We start from the raw sequence: 15,020 nt of genomic DNA, 5'->3' as shown, positions 1-15,020 counted from the left end.
TGAATAGCAAAAAGAAAATGATAGTTTAATTCAGCTTTTAGAGCTACGGAAGTATATGACAATCAATCCCACCCTTTTTATCCGTTTGTTCTTCTTATTAGCATGAAAAGAAATAAACATCAGAGAGCACAGTGTTTTCATTTGTCAGTTTACCTATTTCGAGCAGGAGATTTCCCAGCATCCTCTTGCACAGATACAAGTCTTGTTGAAAGAGGAGTATTTGAGGAATCTGGATGAATCAAACTATAAAGAAAATAGGAAAATACTGAAATAATTCAGGACAGTAAAAGGGAATTTCAATGAGGCGCTTTAACATTAAAAGCAGATTTAATCTTTTTCCTTGCAATAATGAGATTATGTGTCATTTTTGTTCTTCCTTTAATTAGGGTGTAAATGGTATGAATGATAGTTTTTGCAGTGCATGGCTTTTAAGAATATAAAATGCCGAAATGACAATTTTAAAAAGTTTTTAAGTATATGGAATGTAAATAAAGTTAGTTGGATGGGTGCCTTTGAAACGTCTAACATTATTAATACAAGATGAAATTGATTTTGGAGGGAAATCTTGAGTTCAAATATTTTATTCTCAGTCCCCATAACCCACTAGAATAGCACCATAGAGTCAGACAAACCTAGGTCCAAGTGCAGGCTCGACCTCTTACTAGCTACATGACCTTGGGTTCATTACTTAATCTCGCTAAACCTCAGCATCCACATCTGTCAAAAGGAGAAAATAGTGCCTACCACAGAGATATGCTGACTAAAAGAGAATGAACATTAAGCAATTAGCACAGAACCTAAAATTTAACAATCATTCTACCTTTGACATCTATTGTACATCTCTCAGGGAGCTTTCTTACCTGATTTGTTTTGTTAAATCACATCTGCCCATTACGACAGGGCCTGTCACAACTAAAAAGCATTACTAACTAAAGTAAGCAAAAACTAAAAAAACTCTATACTTCATATTGTTTAATTAAACATAGAATCAATTTTTAAAATTTATAAAATATATGTAAGGTATAAAAAAATCATAATGCCATAAACACCAAAGTATTCATGAAGCAATGTAAGAAAAGGCTGGGCATGGTGGCTCATGCCTATAATGCCACCACTTTGGGAGGCGGGCAAATCACTGGAGCCTAGGAATTCGAGACCAGCCTGGCCAACATGGCAAAACCCATCTCTACTGAAAATACAAAACTTAGCCGGGCATGGTGGCACACACCTGTAATCCCAGCTAATTGGGAGGCTAAGACACAAGAATCACTTGAACCTGGGAGGCGGAGGTTGCAGTGAGTCAAGATCACGCCACTGCACTCCAGCCTGGGTGACAGAGCGAGACTCCATCTCAAAATAAATAAATAAATAAAAACTAATGTAAGAAAAAGAAACTCTGGCCAGGCGCGGTGGCTCACACCTGTAATCCCAGCCCTTTGGGAGGCCGAGGCGGGTAGATCACCTGAGGTCAGGAGTTCAAGACCAGCCTGGCCAACATGATGAAACCCCGTCCCTACTAAAAACAGAAAAATTAGCCAGGCATGGTGGTGGGCACCTGTAAGTCCAGCTACTCAGGAGGTTGAGGCAGGAGAATCGCTTGAACCCAGGAAAAGAAGGTTGCAGTGAGCCGAGATCGTGCCATTGCACTCCAACCTGGGCAACAAGAGCAAAAAAAACTCTGTCTCAAAAAAAAAAAAAAAAGAAAAAGAAAAAGTACACTACCACTGACTGTGAAATTCCCCTACCCAGTCCTAATCCCTTCCCTTCCCTCAGTGAAACCACTGTTATAACTTTCATATCTATCGTCTTTAAGTGTTACCACATTTCAGTCCCTAGACAGTGTAGTAGTTTTGTGTATTTTTAAATTTTTAAATTTTATATTAATTAAATTTTCCCGGTGACATGATTAGATGATTTTCTTTTCTACTCCACTTTATGTCCCTGAGATTCATACATATTGAATGTAGCTGTAATTAATTCATTTTTTACTTCTATTTAAATTCATTACATACTAATTTCTCAATTCCTTAAGGGTTAACTGAGAAATTAACTTATCAGAGAGATGTTACTTAAAACTATAGGCTCTTTGTAACGGCCAGATTTGGTATTATGCTTAACAAAATAATTCAGCTAAAGAAAATAATCAGAGGCCAGGTGCAGTGAGTGGCTCATGCCTGTAATCTCAGCACTTTGGGAAGCTGAGGTGGGAGGATCGCTTGAAGCCAGGAGTTCAAGACAGCCTGGTCAACATGGCAAGACCCCATCTCTTAAAAAAAAAAAAAAATCAGCCAAGCACAGTGGTGTGCGCCTGTTGTCCCAGCTACTCAGGAGGCTAAGGCAGAGGGGATTCGAGGCTGCCCTGAGCTATGATCACGCCACTACACTCCAGCCTGGGTGACAGAGCAAGGCCGTCTCAAAAATAATAACTAATAATTTTTAAAAATCAGAAACTGATGAAACTAAGACTCTAATTCAAACAATTCCAGGTAACTTCCAAGAGTTAGCACCCTCTACTACCAAGCAGTGCAGTATACTTACAAAAAAACATGAAGTAGCAGTGCAGTATACTTACAGAAAAACATGACATATACCTTCAGAAGGAAAAAAAATCTAATTTCACTTGGAAATATGAATACATATTGTACAGGCATTCTTCTTCTCACAGAAGGCTACATTAGAAATTAATAATCTCAATGACTTCTGTTCATTAATTAAATTAAAAATCTCAATTTGTTGCCTGTTCAACAAATATTATCAAGATTATATACATGCCATGCGCTGTTCTTGGTGCCTGGGGTAGAACAGTGACAAGAAAGATGTAAAGTCTCCTCTCATGGAGCTTACATTCTAATTAGCCAATATCATCACTATCCATAAACATCTGCAAACATTCTGGAGGCAAGCCAAAGAAAAAGGAGAACACAGTGAACTGACAGGAAATAATTCTAAGAGGGTAAGTGTTAACTGAAAGCACTCAAAGGTCAGACAACTATCGATATTTTTCAACTCTAAATAAAATTATATTTAAGGGACAATACCTTTGCCAGGCCAAATCATCCTCTAAAAATATGTTACGGCTGGCTTTCCTACTCCCAACAGGTGTTCGGGGTTCACTTGGATCAAGCACAGACACAGAGCAAGCAGAATCTGAAAGAGCATTCAAGTCTTCCCCAATAGAATTACTGTCTGTGGAATGAGCATAACTTAAGGCTATTTTTCTACAATATGTGCAAGCTCGGAGGTCTCCTAGGAGAAAAAAACAAAAACAAAAACAAGGAAATTGAAGGAAAAGATAGCAGTAACATATTGCTTAACGTAACTTTTTTAACTCCTTGGGTCAACAGTTCATCTAATAACGGAAATGTCTTCAAGTACAGACTCTCAAAAAAAGACATTTTAAAAAGTGAAATAATTTTGTTAGCTCTATTATATATATTTAAGGGCCATTTTGAATTCTGGCACTAAAAATCAAAAGTTAGAAGTTAAAAGAAAAAAAAAGAGCCATCATTATGATAAATTCATCCAGGTGTCCAAACTACCATAAACATTTATAATGAGTTTAAAATGTAACATACCAGGCCAGACGTGGTGGCTCACGCCTATAATCCCAACACTTTGGGAGGCCGAGGCGGCAGATCACCTGAGGTCAGGAGTTCAAGACTAGCCTGGCCAACATGGTGAAACCCCATCTCTACTAAAAATACAAAAATTAGCCGGGCATGGTAACGCATACCTGTAATCCCAGCTACTCAGGAGGGTGAGGCAGGAGAATTGCTTGAACCCGGGAGGCGGAGGTTGCAGTGAGCCAAGACTGTGCCATTGCACTCCAGCCTGGGCAACAAGAACGAAACTCCGTCTCAAAATAAATAAATAAATAAAATAAAACAAAACAAAACAAAACAAAATGTATATCCCAATGATACCAGAAAATTTTGCTTAAAAGAGTATTTTTTTCCAGGTTTTAAAAGTGAAATAAGGGATCTAGGACAGGCACACTGGCTCACACCTGTAATCCCAGCACTTTGGGGGGCCAAGGCAGAAGGACTGCTTGAGGGCGGGAGGACTGTTTGAGGGCAGGAGCTCAAGAACAACCTGGCCAACATACCGAGACCCTGTCTCTATACAAATATAAACATATATAAAATAAAATCTTAAAAAAGAAATCTAACAGAGACATGAGTTTCAAGGAATAACATTTTTTAATAGAATAAATAAACCAACACAAATGGAAACAACATATTTTCCATAGGCAAATTAATTAAGGAGGAAAATATTATTAAGGTCTTTATTGTGAAGCCCTGAAGAGTACCCTCCAAAGAATTTCAAAAGCAAACTAACAGAAAATGGGCTTACATGCAGTATAATATATGAGAGTAAAAACTATAAAAGAATTATTATAAAAAAAAGTTAAGGCCGGGCACGGTGGCTCACGCCTGTAATCCCAGCACTTTGGGAGACTGAGACGGATAAATCACCTGAGGTCAGTAGTCCAAGACCAGCCTGGCCAACATGGTGAAACCCTGTCTCTACTAAAAATACAAAAATTAGCCAGGCATGGCGGCGGGTGCCTGTAATCCCAGCTACTCGGGAGGCTGCGGTGGGAGAATCGCTTGAACCTGGGAGGCAGAGGTTGCAGTGAGCCAAGACTGTGCCACTGCACTCCAGCCTGGGCAATAAAAGCGAAACTGTCTGGGAAAAAAAAAAAAAAAAGGATAGAAATGAAATATTCTTGAGAGGACAAACAAGGTTAATATTTCTAAATATGTATTTTTTGAGGGTGCAGTCCTGTCCAAATAGAAGTTTTCATTTCTACTCTATTTTTCTATAACATTGTTTTGAGTGATTCTGTAACATTTTAGGTATTAAAAAAGGAGGTAAAATAATTAAACCTTACTAATAACATGTTGTTTAATAATTCCACCTAAAATTTTCCCACTAATATTAGAAAACTGAAGTGATACAAAATAAAAGACTTCTAAAAGTTAACTGTATTATGTTTTTACCATAATCACTACCAAAATGGCCTTTTACTTTTTCATTTTAAGACTACTATTACACAGTACTCAGTTTTATTAAATTATGCATGTAGGCCAGGCATGGTGGTGCACACCCGTAATCCCAACACTTTGGGAGGCCAAGGCAGGCGGACTGCTTGAGCACAGGAGTTTGAGACCAGCCTAGGCTACATGGTGAGACCCCACATCAATAAAAAATACAAAACTAGCCAGGGCATGGTGGCATGCACCCTGTAGTCCAAGCTACTTGGGAGGCGGAGAGGTAGGAGGATTGCTTGAGCCCAGGAAGCTGAGGCTGCAGTGAGCTGAGCTGTGGTCGTGCCACTGCACTCCAGCCTGGGCAACAGAGCAAGACTCAGTCTCCAAAAAAAAAAACAAAAGAAGTGAAATTACTCCCTGCAGAAAGACTTTCAATTTACTACAACAAAGACTTCATTTGTTTCTTACACTATAAAGGAAATCTCGCCTAACCAGTCAGCTATTAGAACTAAAATTGTAAAATCAATAAACAGAGCCAAGCCTAATCATAAAAGTTTTCATTTCATGAAGAAAGTTCATCAGCAAGAGCCTATTAAGCGCATGCCTATATGGTGTGATGGGAATACAAAGATTGATGAGATACAGCCCTGCCATCAAAAAACTCATAGGCCACTGGAGGCAACACACATATAACCAAAAAGCTGCATGACAGATGCAGATACTATTGCTATTACCATCAATAACAATAGTTTACTGTTCATTGATCCCTTTCCATGTACTAGACATTTTTCTAGTTATTTGTATTTATTCAGGGTCACAATGTATAACTGTGCCTAGCATATATTACCCCAGGGGTCCCCAATCCCAGGGACATGTACTACTCCCCGTCCGTAGCCTGTTAGGAACCGAGCCGCACAGCAGGAGGTGAGTGGCGAGCAAGCAGCACACAAGCCATACACAAACGGGCATTACCTCCTGAGCTCCACCTCCTGTCAGATCAGCGGTGGCATTAGATTCTTATAGAAGCGTGAACCCTATGGTGAACTGCGCATGTGAGGGATCTAGATTGCACGTTCCTTACGAGAATCTAATGCCTGATTACCTAAGGTGGAATAGTTTCGTCCTAAAACCATCCCCCGTCCCCCACACCAGTCCATGGAAAAACTGTCTGCCACAAAACCGGTCCCTGGTGCCAAAAAGGTTGGAGACCACTATATTATCCCATTTGTGATTAACCTTATGCGTCAACTTGGCTAGATTAGTTATTTGGTCAAGCTGAGATGCTGTGAAGGTTATTTTTTTTGGATGTGATTAATATTTACAATCAGCTGACTTTAAGTAAAGCAGATTGTCCTCTAGAATGTGAGTGGGTCTCATCTAATCAGTTGAAGTCCTTAAGGACAAAGACTAAAGTTTTCTGAAGAAAAAGAAATTCTGTCTCAACACTGCAAGACAGAAATCCTGTAGGAGTTTCCAGCCTACTGGCCTGCCCTGAGAATTTCAGACTTGCCAGTCCTCAAAATAACTTGACCAATTGTTAAACATAAATTTCTCTCTATATAAATGTGTGTTTGTGTATCCTACTGGTTCTGTTTCTCTGGAGAACCTTAATACATATTTTGGTACCAAGAATGGCTTTAGAGCAACAGAATCTTAAGGGTAAGTTTTCTGAATTGGTTCTTACATTTCTGGAATTGGTTCTCTAAGCTGATTAGATTTAAAGGCACTAATGACTCTATTTCCAGTAGTAAAGAGAACACTGATAGTCCATTGTGTAATGTGGCAACAAAGACATGCAAAATATCACCTACAGATACTCCTAATCAAATATTAATACTTATAAAAGGCAAAGTTCTGAGTGACCAAGTATTTAATATCTTAGAATGGTTTTGTCAAGCTAACAACTATAATGACATGGGCTGGTTCCTCCTAATTGCATTAGACAAAAGTAAAAAAAGAAATGGATAACCTTAGGGATTCAAATTCCCAGCTCAAGAACTGTATAAATTATCTGAAAGTTTCTAGGTCTTCCTTGAAAGAAATCCTTATCTCCTGCAGGTTCAGTGCTAAGATTGTTAAAAATCAGAACAACACTCTCATCCTGCAAGTGACTGAACTGAAACACAAACTGAATCACCAACCTTGAAGTTTGTCTGCTATTAAAGTGAGGGTGTTGATTGGGAAGGAATGGAAATATGTAAGAAGATCCTGATGGAGCTGGGGATGTTAAACACCAAAATTCTGAGTCTTCTTTGCCAGCAGCAGCAGTCTTTCCACCTCATTTGAGGAGATTAACCTGGCTTTGATCAGACAGGCTGTAATGACCTCCCCTGAGTTAGCTGCCTTGCAAGACACTGCTAATTTTACTCAGGATCTACTCCTACTACTCCTCTTTGCTACCAGACCTATAAAGGAACTCAAGCTCAGGTAGGCCCTGAAAGGTGAGATACAAACTGTGACCCATGAGAAGGTGCACTACACTCCAGAAGAACTACATGATTTTTCCAATTTATACAGATAAAAACCAAGGAAATACATGTGGGAATGGATAATGAAGGTATGGGATAATAGTGGAAAGAATATAAAGTTGGATCAAGCTGAATTTACTGACATGGGCCCACTAAGCAGATTCTATATTTATTGTTGCAGCTCAAGGGGTTAAAAGGGTCTCCAACAGTCTGTTTAGATGACTGGCTGAAACATAGACCAAAAGGTGGCTTACACTAAATGGGGTTGAAATATCAGAAATGCCCTATTATATTATAGAAGAAGGCATCCAAAGGTTAGGGGAGATTGAAATGTTAAAAGTAGTTTTACCATGTAAGACTTGCTGACTCACCCAAGAAGGACATAACCTTTCAACCACGACTATGAGAAATAAATTTGTGAGGGGAGGCCCCGAATCCTTAAAGAGCTTTGTGGTTGCTCTTCTTTGTAGATCAGAAATTACAGCAGGAACTACTGCTACTGGGTCAGGAAACCTAAATGCAATGGGGATCACTGGATCCCAGGGTGGCAGGGGCCAATAGGCAGCACTTTAGTCGCCAAAGACAAGGTGGGCATGGTTACTATAATAGACATCAGAATCAAAGCAATAATCAGAATAGCCTAAGAGATGTATGGCATTGGCTAGTTGATCATAATGTCTCCACAAGTGAAGTAGATGGGCAGTCAACAAAATTCTTACTTGATTTGTATAAGGGAAACAACTCCATATCAAGTAGCTGTAAGTCCAACTTGAATCATGAAAACAGAGTCATACGATCCTTCACTCAATTCCCAGACTTGAGCCACTTACAGATGATCCAGAACTCCTTGAATGAAGAGGGGATTGGTCATTCTGAAGAAGAACCCCACTACACTGCCAGAAATGTACACCGTTAATCTTTCTACCAGCCATCCCCAAAGAGACCTATGCTTTTACCAAGGCGACTGGACACTGAGGAGAAGGAAATGATCATATTTGTCAGGGGTTATTAGACACCTACTCTCAACTGACACTAATTCCAGGAGACCCAAAACATCACTCTGGTCTGCCTGTCAGAGTAGGGACTTACAGAGGTCAGGTGATCAGTGAAGCTTTAGCTCAGGTCCATCTCACTGTGAGTTTAGTGAGTCCCCAAACTCACTCTATGGTTATTTCCCCAGTTCTAGAACATACAGTTAGAATAGACAACCAGCAGAATCCCTATATTTGTTCCCTGATCTGTATTTTGGTACTTCTGGCCTCCAGAACTATGAGACATACATTTCTGTTGTTCCAAGACACACAGCCTGTGGTACTGTGTTATGGCAGACCTAGGAAGCTAACATACCGACCATATTAACAAGAAAGGTTTTATCCTGAGGGTAATGGGAGCTCTGAAAGAGTATTATGCAGGAAAATACCCTGACATGATCAAATTATCATTTTACAAAGAATGCTGACTAGGATATGAAATATGAATTAGAGGTAGGGAGAAACTAAAGGTAAAAAAAATGTATTTTAAAAGCTGTAATCTTGTCACTGTAGCCTTAGATTACAATTTGAAGTCAGGAAATGTGATGCCTCCTGCCTTGTTCTTTTTGCTTAGGATTGTTTTGGCTATTCAGGCTCTTTTTTGGTTCTATATGAATTTTTGAATAGTTTTTTCTAATTCTATGAAAAACGACATTGGTAGTTTCATAGGAATAGGCTACAGTAACAAAAACAGCAGTGGTACTGGTACAAAAACAGGCACATAAGCCAATGGAACAGAACAAAGAAACCAGAAATAAAATCACACACTTACAGACATTTGATCTTCAACAAAGTCAACAAAAATGAACAACAGGGAAAGGACTCTCTATTCAATAAATGGCACTGGAATAGCTGGCTAGCCATATGCAAAAGAATAAAACTGGCCCCTATGTTTCATCATATACGAAAATTAATTCAAGATGGATTAAAGATTTAAATATAAGACCTCAAACTATGAAAGTCCTAGAAGAAAACCTATGAAGCATGATTCTGGACATCAGCCTTGGGAAACAATTTATGACTAAGTCCTCAAAAGCAACTGCAACAAAAACAAAAATTGACATGTGGGACCTAATTAAACTAAAGTGCTTCTGCATGGCAAAAGATACTATCAACAGAGTAAACAAACAAGCCACAGAATAGGAGAAAATACTTGCAAACTATGCATCTGACAAAGATCTAATATCCACAATATATAAGAAACGTAATTCAACAAGTAAAAAACAAATGACCCCATTAAAAATTGGGCAAAAGACATGAACAGACACTTCTCAAAAAAAGACCTACAAGTGGCCAACAAACATGAAAAAATGTTCCACATCAATGATCATTAGTGAAATGCAAATCAAAACCACAATAAGATACCATCTCACACCAATCAGAATGGCTGTTATTAAAAAGCCAAAAAACGAATGCTGGTAAAGCTGCAGAGAAAAGAGAATGCTTATACACTGCTGATGGGAATGTAAATTAGTTCAGCCACTGTGGAAGACGGTTTGAAGATTTCTCAAAGAGCTTAAAACAGAACTGCTACCATTTGATTCAGGAATCCCACTACTGGGTATATATCCAAAGGAAAATAAATCATTCTATCAAAAGGCACATGTACTCGTATGTTCATTGTAACACTTTTTATAATAGCAAATACAGAATCAACCTGGGTGCCACCAATGGTGAAATGGATAAAGAAAATGTGGTACATATACACCATGGAATACTATGCAGCCATAAAAAAAGAACAAAATTATGTCCTTTGCAGCAATATGGATGCAGCTGGAGGCCATTATCCTAAGTAAATTAACACAGAACAGAAAACCAAATGCCGCAAGCTCTCACTTACAAGTGGGAGCTAAACACTGAGTACATGAGGACATAAAGATGGCAACAATAGACAAGGGGACTACTAGAGCAGGGAGGGAGGAAGAGGAGCAAGGTTTGAAAAACTAACTACTGGATACCATACTCACTACCTGGGTGACAGGATCAGTCATATGCAAAATCTCAGCATCACTAAATATACCCCTGTAACAAACATGAATCTAAAATAAAAGTTGAAATTATTACCAAAAAAAAAAAGAAATACAAGTAATTTTCAAACAAAAAAGCTGTTGTAAAAGCTAATGGGGTTCTGGGTGACAGATAATGGGATTCTGAACTCTGTAGTAGTTTAGGTGGAAAAAAAAATGAGCAGACAGAAAGATCTTCACAATAACAAAAATAACATGAGAGAGATGTTAGGAGTTTTGTTTTTCAGGTAATTTCTGACTATCTTCTACTCCCAAATCACTGTATAAATCAACATACCATTGTTCAGTTTTTTCTGTTTCAAGAAATAACTTAAATTTTCTGTACTGCTGAAATTTGACTATGTTCCTTATGGAGGAATCTGAGTAAGACACAATTCACTGCCAAAGCACAGTGTCATGTAATTACGTCAAGGAAGATCTGTCCTTTTAAAATGAAAACTCTCATAGTGATTTAAATTAGTAATCTACTCTAACGATCTTGTCTAATAAATTTTAATGTTCCTATAGTTTTTTGCTAGCATCTACAATAAATACACTTTTACTCTAGTTATTTATGATAAGTCCCATCTACTGTATTATTCAATAGGAAAGTTCTTAAAAGCAAAGCTGTCTCCCTCACCTTTGTGTCCCCATGTCTTACACATAAAACCCAAAATGAAAATTGGCTTAACACTATCCTGTATTATAAGTGTCTTATAGTTATGACCTTTAAAAATTGTAAACTGGCAATAAAATGCATTTACCTGTATAGCCCATAAATTTTCCAGGGATTTCTTGATTACAGCAACGACTGCAGAAAATCTGCCCACATAGTCGGCAATGGTGTCTGCGCCTAAAGGTTGTAAATTTCTCACTACAGTCATAGCACTCTTTACATTGGCTATCTGGCATCCAGTATTGTTTCAGGTCACTATCCTATAACAATAAAAATGTGTGAAGGCTTCTTGAAAATACTGATTATTAATATGCAATGGCAAATGAAATCCTCAAAGGTTTCTTTTGCAGAAAACAAACTAATTCAAAAATTCATATGGGAATACGAAAGGTCAAAATAACCAAGACAATCTTGAAGAAGAACAAATTGAAGGACTTAATATTACCAGCCATCAAGACTTATTCTTAATGCTACAATAATTTTAGACAGGGTACTGGTACAAGGATAGAAAAAAATAAAGGTATGGAACAGAAAAAGAGAGCCCTGACACACCCTCACACATATATGGACTTACGGTGGAATTTATAATGCAATCAGTGAAAGATGGTCTTTTCAAAAACAATGGTACTATATCCAACTGGACATCCATGAGGAAAAATGGAAGCCTGACCCCTATACTTGACAGAAATAATAAAGCTTCTTGAAGAAACCATAGGAGAATATCTACTGCCCTGAACTAGATAAACACTTCTTAAACAGAACGCGAAAAGCACTAAGGATAACGGGAAAAAAACTGATAAATTAGACTACAATAAAATTAAGAACTTATGTATAAAAATAGGGTGCTCACAGCTGGAGGAAGCGCTAATTAAGCTTTCTTTCAGTGGCATTAAGCCATTTTCATTAGGTATGGCATGATCCCCATAAGCGCTTAATAAGTAATCTTCCAAAGCCTCTAGACAGTACCTGGCTTTTCCCCTCCATGATTTCCTTGAGGCGTTTTAATACTGTGCTGAGGCTTCGAAGCTGAACAGCTGTACGAGGGTCATGACCTCCAAAGGTAGGTTCTGCTTTCCTTCTTGTGTCTGAGTTGGATTAAAAAAAAAGCAACCTTGTTAACAGTCCCTAGTATCTATATACAACAAGGTATATATGTGATGGAAACTGCCTCTTATTGTTGGCATATAATTATGTTCTCCCACCCGGTTATATGAATTGAGAGTTAAAACAAGTCTTTATAAGGGTAAGAGGCTACTGAAAGTATTTCTTCTCATGTAAAATGCTGTTTTACAAGCGAGTCAAGGCTGCCTAAGACAAGCATTGTCTGAGACCATTGATGGTTTTCAGGCCTGGAATGGGAACATCACTTAAATGGTCCAAAATTCATTAATGACTCCTTAAGCCCTTTGGTCCAACCTATAATAAATGCATGCTAGAAATTTAGCAGAAGAAAAAGCAATCAAGGAGGGTTAACTTAGCTTGGTCTCTAAAGTCAAACAGGTAAGCAATAGGATCAAACAGTTCAGTTCTGTCTATATCTGTAGACCATATATCCAAAGTCTCATACAGAAGATGATCAGAAAGAAGTTTAATAGCCCAGCCTTCAAAGATTCTGACAGACTTCACAACATCCAGGATGGCAAATTTTGCCATGGTAAAACCTGACCTATGTCCAAGCAAATTAAAACTGCCAGAAAATTGCTAAAACTCCAATCCTATCCTTCCCTGTCACTTCCCCAACCCCACAGCTCCAAATAGGAAAGGATCATTTATACCTGACATAGCAATACTGAAGCCAAATCTATCACTAATAAGCCCAAATTCCAGCCTCATGGCCAAAATAGGGTATGCCCACCAAAGTTGTCACTTATTATTTCCTTAATTTAGACCAAAATTACAACTGAAGTTTCTGCCTATTTCTGGCAGTTACAAAACCTAAGCATGAAGCAAAGACGTTTTGACAAAAAGGATGAACATCCTATTAGCTTAAACCCATCAAACTGATAACCTATGGCAAAGTAAACTGGAAAATACCCCACTCTGAATCTTCCTCAAACTCACCATTTGCTAGATAGGTGCTGTTTTGGCTGGGAGGGAAAAAAAAGAATTACAAAGAAATGAGAGGTTGGGATCTAAAGTTTACAAAGAATTTCCCAAGATAATGTAATCACTGAAGTAACTACCAAAATTGTACCTATTTTAGAAAACTTTGGCAACTTTTATCTTTCTATAAAGTTATATCTTAATTTTAGCACATACCTCAGATGTGTTGCTACTGTATTAGAATAACTAAACTTGAGTCTCAAAACAAAAAACAACTCCCCATGATCTACAAATTGAAAAAGAAGACAGATGAAGCTACTGGAAACATAATGGCTGTGCTTCCGTGCAGCAGGCAAAAACTTGTGAAGTCCCTGGCATTTAGCCAATTAGGAATATAAGAAAGTAGTAATAGCATCATCCGCTGAAAAAGGATGAGTGAGACCCTTCTTGGAACCAAGAGAATCACAGATGTTGGCTGAAGATGAAAGAAACCCAGAGAGAAAATCTGGTCTAGCTCTATGCCCTTAGGCAAATAGCCTTAGCTGCTTCTCTTGCAAAATGAACATTAGAAAATTAAATAACTTTCCTAAGGTCGGAAAGCTAGTAAATTATAGAATTACAGCCCTTTTAATAGGGAAAAGAACTTGACTGGCCAAATAACACCAGGCTTCTGAAGCTCAAATGCCTTCAAGATAGAATCAAATAATCAAGCAGACTTGAGAAGGACAGTAAGGAAACTAGACAGTAAAGGCTCCACCTGGAGATATTAAAGTTCAAGTTGATCATAATACCAATGGCAAGGTTTGGCAGGCTGCCAATTTGTAACTCCTAAAATATTACATTTTAGTCTAACTTGATTTTAGAAATAAAAAAATCCTACACTCAATTCAGCATGGGATTTAGTCAAAACAGCTCCCTCAACAAAAAGAGTGTTGTTGTGAGTCAGATTCAAGAGCTAAGGAGAGTTTATTGAGGTTAAAAGTTAAAATAGAGATTATCTGGAATAAAAGGAGAGCTCCTTTCTTTCTCCCTCTCCCACTCCCCATCTTCTGATTCTTCCCTCCAAATGGCTGATGTAACCCTGGCTGAGGCTCACTGCCCTAGAAAACCTGTGCAGGTGATGCAGCCAGCTCTGTGCCAGTCCTCGGGTAGAAACTCTACTTTTGCTCAGTTTCTCTTTGTTCTGGCTGACCAAGTCTGAACTCACAATAAAATATCCTTCTGCCAACCACCACTATCTGGGGGAAGATCAGCCACACCAGACGAGATCTGGTGTTCTGGGGCATCTAATTCCCAATGCTGCATCCCTTCCCCTCTATCATGCCACCTCCCACTTCCTTTGTCACCTTGACTTAGGCAAACCACTCCAAGTTGAAAAATCTGACAGAAATAAAACATAAACCACCTCTCTTTTTCTAATCTCTCAATTCTGACACCAATCCCCAGCCCATACTCATCAGAAGAGCATGAAAATGAAGGAGATGACTGTGTAGTAGACCAGAATGGAAAACAGACAGATGAGAGGAGCTCAGCTTATTCAGCCACACTGACAGTTTGCACCCCAACAAGGACAGAAGGCCAAGAGCAAGTGGCAGCCCAATAATGGAGTTGACAGAGTTCTGCAGCCAGAGGCATGCATATCACATTTCACTAGCACCCCAAGAACAGATGCAGAATTCATTCACAAAGTGGAAACTAACCTGTGTTCTCCTGGGGATGTTGCAAACTGTTGTCTGCTGAAACCCAAGCAAGTAATTAATCAAAAAATAGTCAAGAAATCTGTGCCTTGCCTAAATTAAAGT

The 15,020-nt window shown here is 38.5% G+C and overlaps 1 protein-coding gene across 41 annotated transcripts in view; it reads right to left on the bottom strand.

Moving 5' to 3' along the window:
- PIKFYVE (phosphoinositide kinase, FYVE-type zinc finger containing) overlaps positions 1 to 15,020 on the bottom strand; it is a 92,691-nt gene that overhangs the window by 69,775 nt on the left and 7,896 nt on the right. For 15 of the 41 annotated variants that reach the window (XM_047443674.1, XM_011510788.2, XM_047443681.1 and 12 more), the window contains 2 exons: positions 3,039 to 3,246; positions 154 to 243 (listed from right to left, as the gene is read on the bottom strand). In XM_047443674.1, coding sequence (XP_047299630.1) covers positions 154 to 243; positions 3,039 to 3,246 — 298 coding nt within the window. Of the gene's footprint in view, positions 1 to 153; positions 244 to 3,038; positions 3,247 to 11,263; positions 11,436 to 12,141; positions 12,261 to 14,918; positions 14,955 to 15,020 lie in introns of those variants that run through there. The other 26 variants (XM_047443667.1, XM_047443672.1, NM_015040.4 and 23 more) reach the window with 7 other exon arrangements.

Source organism: Homo sapiens, chromosome 2 (genome assembly GCF_000001405.40).
Source record: "Homo sapiens chromosome 2, GRCh38.p14 Primary Assembly".
Lineage (NCBI taxonomy): Eukaryota > Metazoa > Chordata > Mammalia > Primates > Hominidae > Homo > Homo sapiens.
The sequence above is the reverse complement of the archived record's forward strand: the minus strand, read 5'-3'. Positions and strand labels throughout refer to the sequence as shown.